At 36.5% G+C, this 20,663-nt stretch overlaps 1 long non-coding RNA gene across 1 annotated transcript in view; it reads left to right on the forward strand.

The window, feature by feature from the left end:
• LOC105377999 (uncharacterized) overlaps nt 1-20,663 on the forward strand; it is a 92,281-nt gene that overhangs the window by 28,390 nt on the left and 43,228 nt on the right. Inside the window, exon 4 of the long non-coding RNA XR_942986.3 lies at nt 4,002-4,056. This is a non-coding gene — a long non-coding RNA (uncharacterized LOC105377999). The remainder of the gene's footprint in view (nt 1-4,001; nt 4,057-20,663) is intronic.

Here is a 20,663-nt window from a genome sequence, read left to right on the forward strand (position 1 = left end):
TATTTGAGCACTATTTAGCTCAGTATCTTCACTGGCAGCAATGACTTATTCTCATGATGAAATTTGCTTCATTTTCTAAATAAGTTTTTTATACTTAGAAAGGCCTTCATTTTATCTTTATCTTCCTGTTTCAAACCTGCTTTCAGAAAAACACTGAAAGAGTTGCTAATATTGTTATGATTATATTCGATTGGCTTTCAACATATGCTTCAAGTTTTATGAGATCCTAAAATTTGTACATTAGCTTTTTAAAAAATTATTTTGAATCACATCAGTCATTCTGTTAAATAAAAATTTTGACTATACGACCAAAGACAGTGTTGAAATTTGGCATTGTGTGGCTCTCTCTTGGTCTGCCAAGGGAGGTTAATTATCAGAAAAGCAGAAAATCCTCAGTGCAACATGATTCACCCTAAGGAGGTCCTTCAGCTGTTTCCAGAGGGCAACTGGAATACTAAGCAAGCCTTTAGTATAAAAAGAATTTTTATTAATGTAAAAAAATTTTTTTATTAGTATCCAAAATTTAATATCACATCTTAAATTACTTCAGTTCCCATATGACAAAGGTAAAATTAAATAAGATTTCAACATAAATGCAGATATGGCACCGCACAGGTTATAATAATTTGACAATGAAATAGTCTTTCATGTCAAGAGGAAATATGTTAAAACAATACAAGGCATAAAAAGATTTCTTTATTCGAGTTAATGAAAGAGTGGCAAGTACCGATGCAAAAGAGATCTATATAATTATACCAGAGATAAAAAGATAAACCTGTCAATGTCGCAAATTTGTGATACTTTAGGAAGTTGTAGTCTTTCCTGAATTTAAATAAACAAGATAAAAAAAAACCTGACAACTCTTGGAAAAATCGATCCTTCCAGACCACACTTTGTTAGGGAAGAATAGATTTTTTAAAAATATTGAAATGCTAATTTTTGAGACGGGTTACTGAAGTAGTTGAAGTTTATGATTATTATCTTATGTAGCCCTAATATAAAAGGGGAATGATTTTGTGTATCTTTAATTACCTTTTCATCATACCTAAGTAAGCTTAGGGTTTATTTTAAGTTTCTGATTTAAAACACACATTGCAGGGAAATCAGAGCAATAACTGGATTTTAACATCAAACATTCTGATGAAGAAAGCACCTCATCAATTTGAAGTGTTTTCCAAATATGCAAAGTGATTGGAAGATGTAAGTTAAAGGAGCATTTCAACCCCAATTTTTGACATAAAGCATTTCTGAATTCCATGCAATAAAAGGATCTTAGCTTTAATGTTTTCTCATAAAGCCTTATATAATTTGAAGTATCTAACTAATTTTGTCCAAACTAAATATAAAAATAAATTACATATGAAATTCATGTATTGACAGCTAAAGATGAAAAGGAATATGTTTGTGGCATTGGATCAAACCAGTTAGTGCAATTTAAATTTCCAAATGTATCACATGTGTGTATAGAAAAGAAATTAGAAAATATGATCTGTGTTCTCAAGATAATCCAACCATACGTGAAATGTATGGTTTAAGCCAATATCTCAATAAGAGTAGAAAGATGCAAGTATTACTGTGGGCCTGTCATCGGGTGGGGGGCTGGGGGAGGGTTAGCATTAGGAGAAATACCTAATGTAAACGACGAGTTAATGGGTGCAGCAAACCTACATGCCACATGTATACCTATGTAACAAAACTGCACGTTGTGCACATGTACCCTAGAACTTAAAGTATAATAAAAAAAATATGCAACGCACCTAGCTCAGTATGTGGCATGTACTGAGTGCTAATAAATGTTGGCTGATATTAGCCATGTTATTTCTTTAGAGGGTGCATGTTATTGAGTAACAGGAATGCACCATGAATTGTTTAGTAATTCACCTACATGTGTGTATTGAGATTGTTTCCTCTATGGGTTGCTTTGTTTAGTTGATTGGTTTACTTGGTAATACAAGCAACACATATTGTGTACTACACAAATATGACTACTTCTAAAGGATAGAGTGCTATAAGTAGAACCATTGGAGAAAGAGATTCAGATTTTCAGCTCTGATAGAGACTACCAAAAGGCCTACACTGATTTACACTTTCAGTATATGTGAAGGTCTATTTTCCTTTGGATATGATCCCAAAAAATGTAGTGCCAATCTGATAACTTATTTTTATTTGTTGGTTACAAAGAAGTTTAGGCTTTTTTTTCCCCAAATGTTCTAATTGTCAGAAATAGCATGTATTTTATAGTCCATTCTTTTTCCATTGCTATGAAATAAATCTTTATTATATGTTAGGTTTAATGTAGATAATGATCTAAATATCGGCATATAGATAGACAAAAAAAGTGTGTTTCTTTGAAGGAAAACAATGTCTCCATTTCAGTATTCTAATTCTAATCATGTGTGATCATCCAAAGCTATGTACTGGGGCCATGTTGTTTTATTGCCCCATGAAATTGTCTTAACTGGGCTTTATTATTACCTTGCTTTTCACTGAGAGAACTTTCAAGAAATGCCCACGTGGGCATGGTGGCATGCACGCGTAATCCCAGCTACTCAGGAGGCTGAGATAGGAGGATTGGTTGAGCTCAGGAGTTCAGGGTTGTAGTGACCTATGATTGCACCAGCCTGGGTGACAGAGACTTCATCACAAGAAAGAAAGAAAAGAAAAAAAAAGAAGGAAGAAGGAAGGAAGGAAGGAAGGAAGGAAGAAGGAAGGAAAGATGGAAGGAAGGAAGGAAGGAAGGAAGGAAGGAAGGAAGGAAAGGAAGGAAGGAAATGCTTACATGAACTGCCATATCTGAAAATCCTACCTCACAATGTTCACTTGGCTGATACAGACTTCCTCTAACCTGGGAAAATAGATATGCACAACATATGACAGACAAAAGCTAACATCCCTAAAAAATGAAAAGCACTTGGTAATCAATTTTTTTAACTTACCAGACAAAGTGGCAAAGGATAAAAAGCATGAAAGGCAGCTCTTAGAAGACAAAATAGAATGTCCAATAAACACATAAATGTATGCCCAATCTTACTCTTAATTTTAAAAATGCAAATAGAAATAATGAGAGACGAATCTCAGATTCCTCCCTCCCCTGTTGATAAGTTGGCAAGCAAAAAGCTTCTGGGTGTGAAAGAAATAAGCACTCTTATAGGAAAAATTGGTGAAAACTTTTGTGAAATAATTTGGCATTACTTATCAAATGTTTAAGTGATTTTTATTTTGCAATTCCACTACTGAGCATTTATCCTGAGTCTATCTTGCACATTTACACAGAGACAGATAAGTGCAATAACATCTATAGTAATAATTATTGTAATTATAAAAAAATTGAAAGCAATCTGTTTTATAAATAGGAGATTAGATTGATAGATTGTGGCCGTTCATGCAAGGGAATATCACTCAGCTGTTAAGAAAGGTGACATCTATTTATCCACCAAGATTTATATATACTATGTATGCAAACCAGCAGCTCAGCTTAGTGAGCAGATTCTGAAGGCTCAGTGCAGACTCTGGAATCATACCCGGGTTTGAAACTTGGCACCACCATTTATAGCTGGGGTTATCTATAGCAAGCATCATAATATCCATATGTCTCACTTTGCTTGTCTATGAAATGGACACAAGAATAGGACATCTTGCTATGAAGTTGCTATGAAGATAAAATGATACAATATTTGCAAGGCACTTAGACAAGGGTCTGGCACATAGAAAGCACTATATAAGTTTTTGTGAAATATAATAAATACTCACATGGAAAGTCGTTTAGAAGTAGACTTCTAAAGTAGAAAGTAAACTGGTGCAGAAGAGTATATCCATATATGGAAACGAAATGATAGAGGTGAGATACATACTTCCATATGAATAAAATATTTCTGGAAGCCACAATAAGAAATGAAGAGTTTACCTCCAGGATATGGTAAGGAGTTACATGATCTTAAGGCCCTTTTATTTTCACCCTTCAGTATTGTTTGAAGTTCTTTTAATTTTATTTCATGGGGAAGAGGAAGGAGACACAGCAGCAGCGGCAGCAACAGCTCCTGGAAGATTTCACGGCAGGTGAGAGGCTGTTTCACCCTGAGCTCACAGGTAACCTCTGCAGCATGGTAGGTTTTATGCTGCAAGCAGCTGGGCTCACATCATCTTGTCTCTGACTTGACCAAAATACTGTCTCCTATCTCTTTGTGTGTGTGTGTGTGTGTGTGTGTGTGTGTGTCACACACACATACCCATGTTAAAAAGTTAGGATCATGTGGTAAGTACAACTTTTATTTCTATTATTAGTAGTAGTAGTATTTGAGATGGGGTCTCATTATATCACCCAGGCTGGTCTTGAACTCATGGAATCAAGTGATCTCCTGCCTCACCCTCTCAAGTAGCTGGGATTACAGGTGTGTGCCACTATGCCCAGCCCTATTATTTTTAGTTAATGATTCACTAGGGAAGTTTTCCCATTTTCTTCAAAAATATGATTTTAATAACTGCATGATGTTCTATTATGTACATACACTACAGCCTTTTCTGAACAGAACTAAATGGGCCAAGTGGAGCAGAGAATCAAGTTCATGTTCCTGTGAGGTCAGCCTACACAATGTATTCACAGTCTTCATTTTTTACTGCTGTATGGCATTCCTCCTCATTGTTATAAAACGTGGGAGGCAAGGATCTGGCAAGCTAATTCACTTTAAGATACAAATTACTGATATGGGGAAGATTGATACTGATACTGATATGGGGAAAAAACACTCTGCATTTTAACAAGAAGCAGACCATTAATCCAAAGGTTTAATTTTTAATGGTAGGTTTTCACTTATTAGCAAGACGAGTAAGGGAAACGTTGCGGATGGAAGAAACATTTAAATGTAGCATTTGCAGATGAGACTGGGTAGATGTTGGCTGAATTGAAATATTTGGAAGCTGGCACAAATAGGCCTTCAATATGTCATCTTTTTTATTGTTGCAAATTGCTACAGCATAGAAACCATAGCCACTCAAACAAGTCACAATAATAACAAGAGACCACAGAGACCCCTGGAATATAAAATACTAATTTTCCAATTTTGCCCACTCATGGTTTCTGGCTTTGCTATTACCTTGGTTAAGTTTACTCGACTTTTCTGTGTCTCACTTTTATCAACTACACAATATGGTCTACCCTAGAAAGATTGTGAGAAGTGAATGCTCAAAATATTCAATTCCATGATTCTTACTTTCATCCTTCCCTTTCCTCTCTTCCCAGAGAGAATGTTACAGTAGGTGGAATACAACACCTTTGACAAAAAACATGATTGCAAGTCTTGCCTCAAACACTTACCATCTAGGCAGGCAACTAATCTTAGCTCACTTTGCTAATCGATAAAAATAGGCTAAAATATATAAATATATGCTTTAACTTAAATGAATGTTAATGTCTGTTGGGCCTATTACCTGACATTTTTATTGCCATTAGGAGAAGCAGCAGGAGGATAAAAATACATTTAACATTTTTGAGAACATAATATGAGTTAGCTTTTTCTGTTGCTTACCTTCTTTACTCCTCAAAGTAGCTGTCTAAGGTAGATACTTTACACAGAGAGAGATGAAAGCTTAGAGTTTACCCCAACGCACACACTTCAGAAGCAGTGGAGCTAGAATTAAAATTCTAAGGCCTCTATCTGCTGCTTCACACTGCCTATGTGATCTTTAGAGGTCTGTAGAGGCACATGGAATTCAAGAATTACTATTATCATATTACTAAATGGTTATAAAACCAAAATGGCATGAGTCACCAAAGTGGGAGTGACTCACCAACATCTCTATTGTGAGAACTTTTTGTTCTGCAAATCTTTCCTCAATATGGAAGGAACTAATTTATGATGAAGTGTTTCATAAAATAAAAGCATGATATGTCAATGCCTATAAGTGTATATCCCAATGATAGCTGGATTTTTAGGTACAGATGACTAAGCTTTTTACATGTGTATAAAGTTTATAGATATTTATATAGATATCACATATATAAGAAAAAATTATGTGTGTGTGTATATACATATATGATGGATATATATGTGTGTATATGTATATGTAAAGAATATATGGTTGGACTCTTACTTTATACCTGAATGATAGACAGGGAAAATTGAGTAAAACATTTGAAAAAAATTTACATTCAATTCCTTTTCTTTCCCTTTGTAAAGTAAGCCACACACTTTCTAGCTACTTTCCTGGTGAATCATCTTAACATCATGTCCACTCACATTATTTTGTCTTTCTCATTCATGTCATTCCCACGGAAACCAAGAAAGTGAATCTTACACACCTGTCTTCTCTTCTTCCTCAATTGTGGCCAAATGTCTCACCCTCCATGCAATAAACATGTCTGAGCTCCTGTTCTCATGCCAGTGTCTGTTCCAGGCAGAGCAACACGAGGCACTGCATGTGCAAAGACAGGAAGTCACTATTTCTGCTCTCCAGGAGCTCACAATTGAATGAGAAGAAGCTCAGTTTGGGTGGTGGAGCCAGTGAGGCTGACTTGGACATGGAGGAGGCTGGAGAAGGGAAAGTCCTCCTCCAAATGCAGAGTGAGCAGGGAGAGCCAGGGATGATTTTTTTGACAAAGTGTGAGAAAGCTGGTCAGAAAATGTAGTGAAGGCACCAGGACAATGTAAGTTTAAAAGATGTCAAGCCACATGGTTTTGGGACATTCTTCAGGTGGCTTTAGAAGGAAAGAGATGAGAAAACATCTACATTCAGGAAAAGAACAGAGCATTGCAGCATTTTCCTCACCTTGTCATTGACACCTTCCCTACCTCCTATGCTACTAAAAATATTGGTAATCTTGGGTAAACGGCTTGTCCTGAGTCATGTGGTCACACCAGGCCCCTACATACGAGTCATCACAGCCTCTCTCACCTAGTGTGTACCCTGGACCGTGAGCTGTAGTGATAAGTGAGGCTCGACTGTTCAAGTCAGACACATGGCCCTGAGGTTTGCTAGCCTTCTCATCTCTGCTAGTGTGCTTGAATTTCCTAATCCTTGATTTCCTCATAGGTATAATGGAGATAATAATATCTCTCTCAAAAGATTTTGTTTTAGTGACAATTTAAAAAAATAGTAAAGTACTTATTCTAGTGCCTGGTATATGGTAAATGTTCAAAAATCGTACTGAATATTGTTTTGCCTTAGACACATGTCATTTTCCTGCCTGGTGTATTTTTTTTTTTTTCTTTTGTGACAGAGTTTCGCTCTGTTGCCCAGGCTGGAGTGCAATGGCACTATCTCGGCTTACTGCAACCTCCGCCTCCCGGGTTAAAGCAATTCTCCTGCCTCAGCCTCCCGAGTAGCTGGGATTACAAGCAAGCGCCACCACTCCCGACTAATTTTGTATTTTTAGTAGAGACGGGGTTTCTCCACGTTGGCCAGGATGGTCTTGATCTCCTGACCTCGTGAACTGCCCGCCTCGGCCTCCCAAAGAGCTGGGATTACAGGCGTGAGCCACCGAGCCCAGTCTTGCCTGGTCTATTCTTAACTTCCATGGTTGCTCATTTTATCTCCTGCCTTAGCCTCATTCCTCTCATGTTTAAAATGGATTCCTGACTCCCTCACACTGCCCAGGACCACAGGCTCCTTCGCCTGTTGCCACATTCTCCTGGGTCCCTACTCCAATTGGGTGCCTGCGTGGGCTGGGTGTGTCCTGTTCCTCAATCCTGCTTCTAAACCTGCCCCCAGATCTCATGTTCATCCCTACGCTGGAATACTCTGTGGCGGTTAGAAAAAAAAAAAAAATCCCAAGTTAAATGATGTGACTATACTGACGAGGGATGTCTAAGGTGTATTATTGAATGAAGAAGGGGAGGTATAGCTTGGGAGGTGTGCTACGATCTCATTTCTCAAATAAAATGTGTTACTTAAAAATCTCTATGGTCTAAAATTTTTCAATAAGCATATATATATTTGGGACATATGTGCTCCTGATTCTCCAACTCAGAACAGGACTTATACCATTGCCTGCTCAGCACCCCAACCCCAGTTCTAGACTCAGACTGGGACACTGGCTCCCCTTGTCTGGTTCTTGGGCTGTTGGGTTTGGACCGGAAGTACACCACTGGCTTGCAGATCGCAGATCCTGGGATTTCTCAGCCTCCATTATCACGTGAGCCAACTTCTTATAATAAATTGCTTCCTATATGTCTCTTTCTCTTATAAGGTATATCCTATTGGTCCCATTTCTCAAGAATATGCTATTTTTACGATTGTGAGTATTTTCAAGGAAATTCGTATAGTTACAGGCGTCACAAAGAATCCTGTGAAATGAAAAATGGAGGTTAACGCAAAAGGATAGCAGAGGGGAGTCTGCCTAAACTACTGTTTTGCGAAACGGCCATGAAAGGCTAAGTTTGCAAAACTCAGGATGTTAACGGCTTTTGCAGGAACAAACATCATTTGGTCAAATAAGTCTAAGAAATACGAAGTTCGGTGAAGTCAAGCAGGCTTATTTATTTAATGCAGGCCATCTCTGAGACTTTAATGTGCTCATGCTCTCTGTGAGTTTGCAAAATGGAGAGAGTAGGTGGTGTCCCTACAACAACACCATCTTTTCCTATGGAGCAATGCCCGACATCTTTTTTTTTTTTTTTTTTTTTTTTTTTACGAGGGGGGAAGCAGCCAACATTTGAGAAATGCTGACCCAAACCAAGTGGGCCAGCTATTTCTCTCCTTAAATATCTCTGGGGTTTTTGTTATTGTTGTTGTTAAATCTCTGTTCTCTTTTATTCTATTTCTACCAAGTGTTTGTATCAGACAGTTACCTTTCAGTTCAAAACTTTGTCCATTTAATAACCGTATATTCAAAATCTCAAGACCTGGTGAACTTGAAATATAAATAACCTCAGACTGTTTACAACGATCCCAAACCCCAAATCATCCAACTAAAATAAGTATCTCCTGTACTTCAGAGAAATACCTCCTTTGCTTGAAAGGGAAAATTTCGTTTTTGAAAAAAATACTTTTAAATTTGATTCCTGAATGTAAAACCACCCTCATTATTGTTTGGACCTCACATTTAGAGATTTAGTTGATCTTCATCATCACTGAGTTTTCAGTTCAAGACACATTATCCTCTAAGCCCCTTTTTGAACTCCTAACCTCAGGTGATCCATCCACCTCGGCCTCCCAAAGTGTTGGGATTACAGGTGTGAGCCACCGCGCCCTGCCTCTAAGCTCCTTTCTGTTAGCTTAGTCGTTAATTCATTCCTTCACTTGTTCCCTTTTATATCCACTTCATGATTCCATGTCTCTTTCCTCCTACCATTCTAATATATTCAAATACATTAAATACGGAAGTTTGGGATTTTATGTTTTTGTAAAACGTGGAATGTTGTTTTTATATTATTTGTGGAAATTATTTCAGTCCTGCTGCCTAGGCTCTTATGAGATTTTGACTAGATAACTTTTAATAAAATGTTAACAATTAAAACATCACTACTAACTGATTAACTCTTTTAAGTTACATAGGTGAACATACGCATGAGATAAGTCAATTTAGTAGCTATGTGTATATATTTTGCCAAGCAATACTGAATGTAAAACCGAAAACCAACACATCCAAAGAACATCCTAGTATTATTTGCTAAAAATTGAAATGTTCATTTTATCATTCTCTACATTCTTCTTGCAACAGGAAATGACTTCTGAATACACTGCCTCATCTATCATTGTCAAGGATTAAATATGAACCAAATTTGCAAGGTACTTTTTTTAAAGTTTGCTAGAGCAGAATAATGTCATTGTCAACACTTTTAAACACTTTATGACTTTGGAATCTTTCCTTAAAAAAAAAAAAAAGCACATTGCCAAACTAATTAGAATTGGTCATGAATATTAATGTTTGAGTTGAAAACAACTGCCACTAGGTGGCAAACAATCTACACATAGACTTAAACAAAAGAGAAAATTATAAATGCACTATATCATATATGCATATTAAATGAGACAGTGCAAAATAGATGGTTAATGCAGTATCTTCAGCATATTGTTAATAATATTACTACTTGGAAACAAGCCTAACAGTACAGTGCCAAATGTACTTTTTGAGGAGTTAAGCTTTCTTTTGTCTTAAGTAACATTTAAAAGAAAAGAGAAAACAGAATGAGAATAGCAGATACTGACCTTAAATTCTAACATTTGTCATTATTTGGAACTGGAACATGGACATTTATTAAGTATCTCATCTGTGCTCTCCAAGTTAGGCATCTCTCTCTATGGTTGAAAATACACTGATGATGAAACTCTATAGGCCTGAGAGACCTTGAACTTCTTGTCCTTGGGCTTTCTGTCTGGCTTCATGGATTCTATATAGTCATCAATTTTTATACCATGTTGGATATAGGAGAGAGAAAGCACTGCTGGGATTTTTCTTTCTCCATCTGATGCAACCTTCTTGGGAATAGGAGAGATGATGCTATGTGAATAGACTTCAGTGCTAGACTGCTAGGTTTGAATATTAGCATAATTTCTCACAAGTTGTGTGCTGTGACTTTAATGTGTCCCCCAAAGTTCATGTGTTGGAAGCAACAGCCTGAAGAGGTGGGACCTTTAAGAAGTGATTAGGGCTGGGTGTGGTGGTCCATGCCTGTAATCCCAGTACTTTGGGAGGCCAAGGCAGGTGGATCACTTGAGGTTAGGAGCTTGAGACCAGCCTCGGCAACGGTGAAACCTCGTCTCTACTACAAATAAAAAAATAAAAAAATTAGCCGGGTGTGGTGGCGTACATTTGTAATCCCAGCTACTCAGAAGGCTAAGGCAGGAGAATTGCTTCAACTTGGGAAGCGGAGGTTGCAGTGAGCCGATATTGTGCCACTGCACTCCAACCTGGGTGACAGAGTAAGACCCCATCTCAAATAAATAAATGCATAAATAAATAAATAGTGATTATGTCACAAGGGCCCTGCAGTTATGAGTGGATTAACACCACTATTACAGGAGTAGGTTCCTGATAAAATAAGTTCAGTCCCTTCTCCCCCACTCTCCAACTTTCTCTCATGCACATGCCCTCTTTCCCTTCTGCGTTCCATCATAGGATGATGCAGCAAGACAATTCTCACCAGATGTGGGCCCCTTGACCGTGAACTTCCTAGTTCCAAGACTTTCAGAAATAAATCTCTGTGCTGTAGAGATTACCCAATCTCAAGTATTCTGTTATAGCAGAACAAAAGGGACAAAAAAAGACAGCGTAACTGTGACAGACTATTATTGCTCCTGAATAATCATTTCTCCTTCTTCTAAGGGGATGATACTTCTTTGTTCTATTGACCTTGTTCTTGGCCATGAGTGTGCTCTGGCCAGTGGTATGTGAGTAAACATGGTGTATACTATATCTAGCAAGCAGCTTCAAGATCTGCAGTGGGTTTCCACCATCTCTCTTGCTTTTACCCTCTTCCAAGGAAATGATGTGTCCCCTCAGAAGAGGGGGCTACTCCTTCAGCCTGGGGCCTGGAATGAGAAGACCCACAGAGAAGAGCTAAGGAAAGTGAGGTGCAGCCACCAAAATAATATATGTGAGAAATAAGTATTTATTGTTAGAAGCTATTGGAATTTTGACGTTGTTTCTTATTACAGCATTACCTAGTGAAAACTGACTATGGCCCTTAGCTTATTAACCTGTCAAATGAAGCTAATAATATTATTCATCTCACAGGACTTGGATTGAATGAGTTAATACACAGGAAGAATGTAGAATAGTACATAACATTATGGAGGCTAGATATTATTATTAAAATAGTCTAAATGCATATGCCATAAAAGATTACATATATTGAATGACTAATAGAGACCAGGAATGTGTTACTCATGATTTTATTCAATTATACAGTATCTTTCTAAAGTATTGACATTCCTGTTTCATAGAACAGAAAACAGAGACTCAGAAAGTCTCTTAGTTCAGTGAGACTTTCAGTTCCTAGTTCAGTGTGGCTAACTTCCAGTTTTTTTGTGTGTATGTTTTTTACTCTGAATCAGTCATGAACTAATGGTTTTAGAAAATATGAATAACATTGAGTTATTAAAAAATAAATAAAATGAACAAAGTTTAAAAGACATATAAGATATAATTCCAATTTTTTATTATTAGATCCTGTAGACATAAAATTATATTTTAATTAATGCCATTGGAACAAATGTTAAAAATGAAAGAATTACAAAAATTATCCATATTATTCAGTGAAAATATGTATGTAGACAACTAATACAGAAAAATCACTGTTTTGCCAATAACTTTTTGTCATTTCACAATTGTAACTAAACAAAAATATGAATGAAAAGCAACTTCCCAAGTTAAACACTATTTACATACATTAAACTACCCACATACAGTTTTTAATGTGACAAGTAAGCTTGCTTCTTACTTGTTAACATATCTAATCTACTTTAATTTCTTTTTTTTTCCCTTTCTTTCTTTTTTTTTTTTTTTTTTTGAGACTGGGTCTCACTCTGTCTCCCAGACTGGAGTGCAATGATGCGATCATGGCTCACAGAAGCTTTGACCTCCTGGGCTCAGTGATCCTCCCACCTCAGACCCCAAGTAGTTGGGACTACAGACATGTACCACCACACCCCACTAATATTTTATTTTTTGTAGAGATGAGGGTCTTGGGGGTCTCACTATGTTGCCCAGGTTGGTCTCAAACTCCTGGGCTGAAGCTATTCTCTGGCCTCTTATGGCTGGGACCACAGGCGTGTGCCACCATGTCTGGCTTTTTTTTTTTTTTTTTCGGAGAGACAGAGATCTCACTTTGTTGCCTCGGCTGGTCTTGAACTCCTGGCCTCAGATGATGCGCCATCCTCGACTTCACAAAGTGCTGGAATTGCAGGCGTGAGCCACGATGCCAGACCTACTTTAATTTTAACAACTGATAGTAGAGAAACAAGTCTCACAAAGCTATGTTAATGGGAATGAAACAAAAGATTTTAAGGCAGTTTCAGCAATCTCAGGATATTCATTTTAAATTTTTATCCAAAATGAAACAAATGATGCTGTATATTCAGAATTTCTATTTTTATCAGAAGCCAAATTCAATAATTTACTCTGTAAAGTTACAGTTAAGTTCAAATTATTTCTTAATGAAGGAAATAAATTCTAGATTGAGCACTTTTGGGTTATCATTGGCAAACTAACTTTGAGACATTGTGTTGTAAAGGTTCTGCTGCAGACAATTAGTAGGCATCTTTGAGTCCATGTAGCGTGAGTACATGTAGAACTCATCATGTGATTTCAAGAACACCTAAACTGTTCTATATCTGCTGAGTAAGATGAGTTAACTGCTCCTCGTTGAATGTGTCAACAAGCAAGTGGTAGAAACAGATTTGTTTGCTGGTCTCCTCCGTTGTGTAAGGTTTTTCCTCTGTTGGAGGTTGTTACCCTGTAAGCAGATCACCTGAGATATGAATTATATTTGTTCTACTACCTATACTGTTTAGCAGGACCAGTGGCTAACCATACCCTGAAGCCAGCCTTAGAGAGGATAATTGTCTTAATAAAAACATACAGTTGACCCCTGAACAACTTGGGGGCAAGGAGCACTAATGCCCTGCAGTTGAAAACCCTCAGATAACATTTGACTCCCCCCAAAATTTAACTACGAATAGGCTATTCTTGACCAGAAGCCTTGGCAAAAACATAGTCTATTAACAGATATTTTGCATATCATATGTGTTATATGCAGTATTCTTAAAGCAAAGCGAGCTAGAGAAAAGGTTATTAGTTATTAAGAAAATCATAAGGAAGAGGAAATACATTTACTATTCATTAATTGGAAGTGGATCATCATAAAAGTCTTCATCTTTGTTATCTTCATGTTGAATAGGCTGAGAAGGAGAAGGAAAAGGAGGGGTTGGTCTTGCTCTCTCAGGACTGGCAGAGGCAGAAGAGGTGGAGGAGGTGAAAGGGGAGGCAGGAGAGGCAGGCGCACTTTATGTAACTTTTATTGAAAAAAATTCGCATATAAGTGGACCTGCATAGTAGTTTAAACCTGTGTTGTTCAAGGGTCACGTGCACACACACACACACACACACACACACACACACACAGTTATATATGCATACACATACATATGTTTATATATCACATATACATATATGTTGTGTATACTTATTGGTTAAAGTGTGTATTGTACCAAATATTGCTGTCTGCATTTCAAACTCAAATAATGACTTTTAGACCTCACTTCTTTGAATTGTAAGTACAGTTGCCATGCTGTATTGTAGGCACTTTGATGACAGAAATAAAATTTGAAATGTTTCTGGAAATCTGTATTCATCTATAATTGATTGACTGGTCAATTGGCTGGCTCGTTAGTTGCCTTGGTTACAGCATTCAAATATTTATTGGCTACCTGGTCTAAATAAGATCAAATTACAATTTAATTTCCAGTATGAGAAAAGAAAAGATGGTTTTTCCATAAAAAATTAGACAACCATGCAATTCTAGGGATCAGCCCGTAAGCACAGGCAGAGGAATTTGGATAGAACCAAAAGATATAAACCTTAGTTCCTTACTCACAGTAAGAAATAGGGCATTGTTTTCAGTGCCTCAGTTCTGGCCAGACATGGTGGGTGGCTCATGCCTATAATCCCAGCACTTTGGGAGGCCAAGGCTGGAGGATCACTTGAGCCTGGGAGTTCGAGATCAGCCTGGGCAACAAAGGGAGATGCGCCCACCCCATCTATACAAAATACTTTCTTAAAAACTAGCTGGATGTGTTGGTGTGCACCTGTGGAGCCAGCTACTCAGGAGGATAAGAGAGGATTGCTTCGGTCCGAGAGGTTGAGGCTGCAGTGAGCTCTGTTCACACCACTGCATTCTAGCCTGGGTGACAGACTAAGACTTGTCTAAAAGTAAAATAAAATAAGATAAATAATAAAAATAAAAATGGAGAATATGTCATATCCATATGTTTAAAACACCAGCATTTAAAAATAAAGCAATAACTTCAGTTTTTAAATTATATCCAGTCAAACATTTTGTTACCATAACAGTTTTATCTGTCTATAGAAATGCAAATATATAAACAAGCTTTTCCTTGACTCTTTCTACACATACTTCTAATCCATGCCTTCACGAGAATTTTACCTATATATTTATGATACATTTTTATGCTTAAAAGTCTTTTATTAGCCTATAACACTTTCAGTATAGTATTTGAAATTTAAAAATTTTGTGAACATGAGGCTCTAAGCATTAAAAAAATTCAGTCTGGATTGAGTTATCGTTTTTATTAGTGCACAACTGATCCAAACATTTATTAAAACTTTGATAAATATGTGTTGAATAAAATTTATTGGCAATGCATCTTTTAATGAAATAAATGGGGCTGTATCTATGTATGATCATTACTCATTACTAAAATTAAAAATGGCACTTCTGTTTTTCGTTTTTACAAATGTAGGCCCTGAGAAACACAGTTAACCTAAATAAGTAGACGGAACTGGATGGAGTTTGTTGTGGCTCTGTTATTCAATTCTTTGAACTCCTTTTGAGACATATAACAAAAATTCCATAGTGATTTATCATCGAAAATTAGTTTTTAATAATCTATTTGTTAAGAACTCTATTAGATCCTCACTGGATTTTGATGAAAATAATTGAAAAGGGAAACTCTCAACAAAAAAAATTTGCTAACCAATCATTTGCGTTATTCACTTTGTCAATACTGATACCAATACTTGGAACTGCTCCTTGCCCCACCGCCCTTTTATTGGTGCCTCAGAAGTTTTTTCAAACATTAAGAATATGATAAAGTAAAATTCAATTCAGGAAAGGTGAGTTGTTCACTTTTATAAAGTTTGAGAAGAGGGATTATAAATGGAAATGTGGAAATTAGGAAAGCACAGAAGACAATTTTAGTAGTTTTCGAGAGTATACATATGAAAGTTGAAGATCTGGAAGTTGATTTCCTTAAAATCATGGTCCTGTGTAGGCCTTGGAAAGGTTCCTGGTGCTCCCAGGTGTACATAAACCCCAATTTGAAGGTACTGCTCTATTGTCAGGAGAGTAATTCTTTTCTGGAGTGAAGGGGGTTTTGCTTTACAAGTTTATCACAATCTACTTCCCAGTCAATAGACCTAATAATATTATCTTACAAGTTACTCTTTTAAGACAGGTGGACAACTCTTCGTTTGTTATTGTGTGTGAAAAGAAAGCTCTTGGCTAAATTAAGTTATATAAATGATTATGTTGTTGCCAAAAGACAGAACCATCTTTAGTTCTAAAATTACCTTTCCTGGTACCCAGTTTAATCAGAGAAAATTCTTTTCTAGACTCTAGGGATTTTGAACTGTACAGGACCTGGTGAAAAGGTACTGAGAAGGAATTTTATGAAATCTCAGGCTTGGCAAAGTTTCCCTCTTCTGGGCAACCATAATTCTCTCTGCAGACTTTTATCTAACAAGAATACATTAAAATTATTTTCTTATTATCTGTCTTCTTCACCACACTATGAAGTCTTTCAGGTGAAAGGATCATGTCATACTCATTTTTGAACCCCCACTCCCCAAAACTCCTACACAATACTTGATATATAGAGGTGCTCAATAAATACGTACAGAAATGAACTCTACAGAATGAAGTGAAAAAATTCTATTTGCATGGTGTGATGTGAAAGATTAGGGAGAAAACTCTTTTGCCCTGAAATATTAACTTTCAAAGTCATCCTTAATTTATTTGATAGAGTCATTTGCATCTCTTAGAATCCTAATATTAAAAAATGAAATATCACTAAGATTTAGCTGGGAAAATAATAATAGAGAGGAGAGAAATTGTTCCCTACAGTGGGAACAATCTCTGCAACAACACTGCAGACATTGCAGGAACATGGCAAGGAGCGGAGCTTCAAGGGAGAGAATGATCTAGGAGAAGGTGAATGAAAAGTTTTATCCAGGCATGATCACCAGGGTCAGGTGTATGACTTAGGATTTGATCAGAAGCATAATAAGTAGCCATAGAGAGTATTAAGCAAAATATTGCCATGATTTTATTTGGTTATTACAAGAAACTCTGGCAGAGACTTCTTTCTCTAATAAAGTTAGCCTGAGTTAATTACACCACTCCTTATACTAAAAGCAATAAAAATTCTATAAAAATAATTTTTAAAATATATTTAAAGCATCAAAAAATCAAAAGTGAATAAGGAACTTCCAGGCCAAAACCAAATAGAAAATAGGAACCCCAAGAGATCCAAGAAACCAAATGAATTCTAAGCAGGGTAAATCAAAAGAAGTCCACAGTTAGATATATCAGAGTGAAGCTATGGAACACGAAAAACAAAGAATTTGCAATCAGCAAAATAAAAGATAACGTTTTCATTTCCTAGAGCTGCCATAACAAATGGCCACAAACTGGGTGCCCCAAAACAACAGAAACTTATTCTCTTACAGTTATGGAGGATGGAAGTCTAAGATCGAAAAAGAAAATTTGAGAGAGATAGGTTGTAGATACCTCCTTCCAATCTCTGCCTTTGACTTCACGTGGTGTTCTGCTGGGTATGATCCATCCTGGGACAAAATTCCTCTCCATCTGTCCATCTGTAAACTAGAAAACAAATTATCTGCTTTCCAAATTCAATGATGAGACAGGCATAGGATAAACATTGCCATCCCAAAAGACAGAAAGTGAAAAAAAATGGGGTCACTGGTTCGGAGCAAGCTTCCAGCAGGGAAAACTCCATTTGTCTTCAAAGCCTGAGTGAACCTGTGTGGATCAATCCACTCTCTGGGCCTGCAGAGGCCTCAGGGCCCACTTCTTTAGTCTCTGTCTCTGCATCCACAGCTCTGCTTTTGGAGTCATTCTTTTTTCTTAAAGGGTAGCAGATGTTTGTAGTTCAGCAGTTCTATCAGTCTATTTTTTTGTGTGTAGAATCTCAGAAATCCAACAGCTTTCCTTCATTTTATTGAGTCTGTCTTTCTCAGTCTAAGCTGGCATTGTTTTTGCTGCTATACCATTTTCAAAAACCTTATTGGTCACTTATATATCTCAAGGAGGTCCACACCTCCTTGAGACATGAGTATTCTCCACAGATTCTGCCTGAATAACCTCATCTCTATTTCTGGTTTCTGCTGAGATGGTTGGCTGGATCTATGAGTCATAAACCTAATCTCTCCAGCAAAAGGTTGCCAGCCACACCTTTGGTGTTCTGTTTAGCACATGCTTCAGCATTTTTTGAAATATGGATAGGCAGAGAATATTCCAAATCACAGTGTTCTGGTTCCTTTTTGTTTAACAGTTCTTTCTTCAATTTACCTCTTTCATGTCACATTTTACAGTAAGCAACAATAAAAACTCAGGCTGCACTTTCCACACTTTGTTGGGAAAGCTCCTCAGCAAAATATCCAAATTCATCACTTATAAGTTCTGTTTTCTACCTAGCCACAGAATACAATTCAGCCACATTTTCTGCACTTTATAACAAGCATTACTTTTCCTCCAGTTTCTAGTAACATATCCTCATTCCCTTCTGAGAACTCATCAGAAGCATCTCTAACATCCATATTTCTACCAATGGCCTCTCCAAAGTAGCCTGCCTTTTTTTTTTCTAATAAGCACCTTAAAATTCTTCCAGTCTCCACCCATTAACCGATTCTAAAGCCACTCTTCATTTTTAGATACTTATTTACAGTATTTTAGTAAATGTTTAGGTATCTGTTACAGCAGCACCTTGCTTCTCAGTAACAAAATCTGTATTAGCTTCCAGAGTTGCTGTAATAAATTGCCACAAACTGTGCCACTTAAATAACAAACATTTTTTCTTACATTTCTAAAAGCTTGAAGTCTGAACTCATGGTGTTGTCAGGGTTTGTTCTTTCTGGAGGCAATGAGGGAGGCTCTACGTCATGCCTCTTCCCTAGCTTCTATTGGTTGCTGGCAATCCTGGGCATTCCCTAGCTTAAAACTGCATTTCTCAAATCTCTGCCTCCTACTTTATATGGCATCCTCCCCCAGGTGCCTCTGTCTGTCCTCTCCCCTTCTTATGAGGACAAAAGTCATTAGTTTAGGACCCACCCTGAATCCAGGGTGATTTTGTCTTGAGATCTTTAATTAACTACATCTGAAAATACCCTATTTTTAAATAGGGTCACATTTTGAGGTTCTGGATGGATATTAATTTTGGGGGAACATCACTGAACCCAATACAGGTCCAGCAGAAGAGCAACAGCAGACTGGTTTTCAGTAGTGATAATAGAAACTAAAAAACAGTGAAGGCTACTTTCAGCATACTGAGAGAGAAAGTGACTTCTAACCTAGTGAAAACATATTTTTAAAACAGACCCAAGATAAGGTCATTTTCAGACAGTTACAGAGTAAGCTTGCAACCAGTAGATATTCACTAAAGAAAATTCAAAAGAATGCACTTCAGGCAGAAGGGAAATAGGACTAGATGGCAAAAAGAATGAAGAGTGCAGAACAAGTTAAATTGTGAGTATATCTACATGAGCATGAACAGTATAAAATAGTAATAATAACAGTAGAATTTTTAAAAAGTAAAAGTAAAGTAAATAACTAAAATATGTGAATCAGGAGGGGGTAAGTTGAGTTAAAAATGCTCTAAGGATCTTATAAAAAGTGAAAGTAGTGATTACTTTGGAATTTTGTTTATATTAAGTACACAGTTTAAAATTTCTAGGGTAGCCACTAAAAAAGAGGAAAAAGTGATAAATTTTAAAACAAGTAATTAAAAACAATAACACACATACACAATCAACCAGTGAAAAGGAAAAAGTAAGTAGAATAGGTGGGAAAAATATAAAATACCAGATATGTTGCTAAATTTACACAATCTGCAGTAAGTTACATTAAATGTAAACAGACTAAATGAACCAAAGAACAAATATTGTCAGAAGGGATAAAAAATACAACTGCATGATATTTGTAACAAACATAACTCAAATATGTGTATACAAAAGATCAAAAATGAGGGAATGCAAAAAGAAATACCATGGAAATACTTACACTAAACATTCTTGGGTAAAATGCATTACTAAAAAAAAAATAAGGAATTCCTATATATTGATTAAGAGGTTTCACTTACCAGGACAATATAACAATTTTATATTTGTCTTCACATATTACAGCTTCAAACTCTATTATTCAAAACAATAATTCAATGAAATAAAAATAAAAATAAAGAAAAATCAAGTATGCTGGATGCAGTAGTTGACACCTGTAATCTCAGCATTTTGAGAGGCTGAGGCGGAGTGATCACTTGAGGCCAGGAGTTTGAGGGCCTGTTTCTACAGGGGAAAAAAAATCAATTACAATGGGTAATTTTAATACACTTTTCTCAGCAGTTTATAGAGAAACAAGTAAGAATATATTAGTAAGATCATATAAGATTGGAAATTACTAAGACTACATAATATTTGAAAAATAAAATTAATACAATTGATGTAAAGTACAAATTCAACCATTGTTGCATACACAGTCTTTTTAAGCACAGATATAGCATCTTCAAAAATTGACTGTAAAATGAGCCATAGCAAATTTTACTGCATTTCAAAGGGCTGAAGTAAGATAAAGCACATTTTCTTATCACATCCAATTAAACCAGATATTATTTTTTTAAGTGTAAGTAAAATAGTTCCACACTTATAAATTAAGAATAGTACACTAACTAACCCATGAGTCACTTCTAACAAACTC

Source organism: Homo sapiens, chromosome 6, assembly GCF_000001405.40.
Source record: "Homo sapiens chromosome 6, GRCh38.p14 Primary Assembly".
In the NCBI taxonomy this organism is placed as follows: domain Eukaryota; kingdom Metazoa; phylum Chordata; class Mammalia; order Primates; family Hominidae; genus Homo; species Homo sapiens.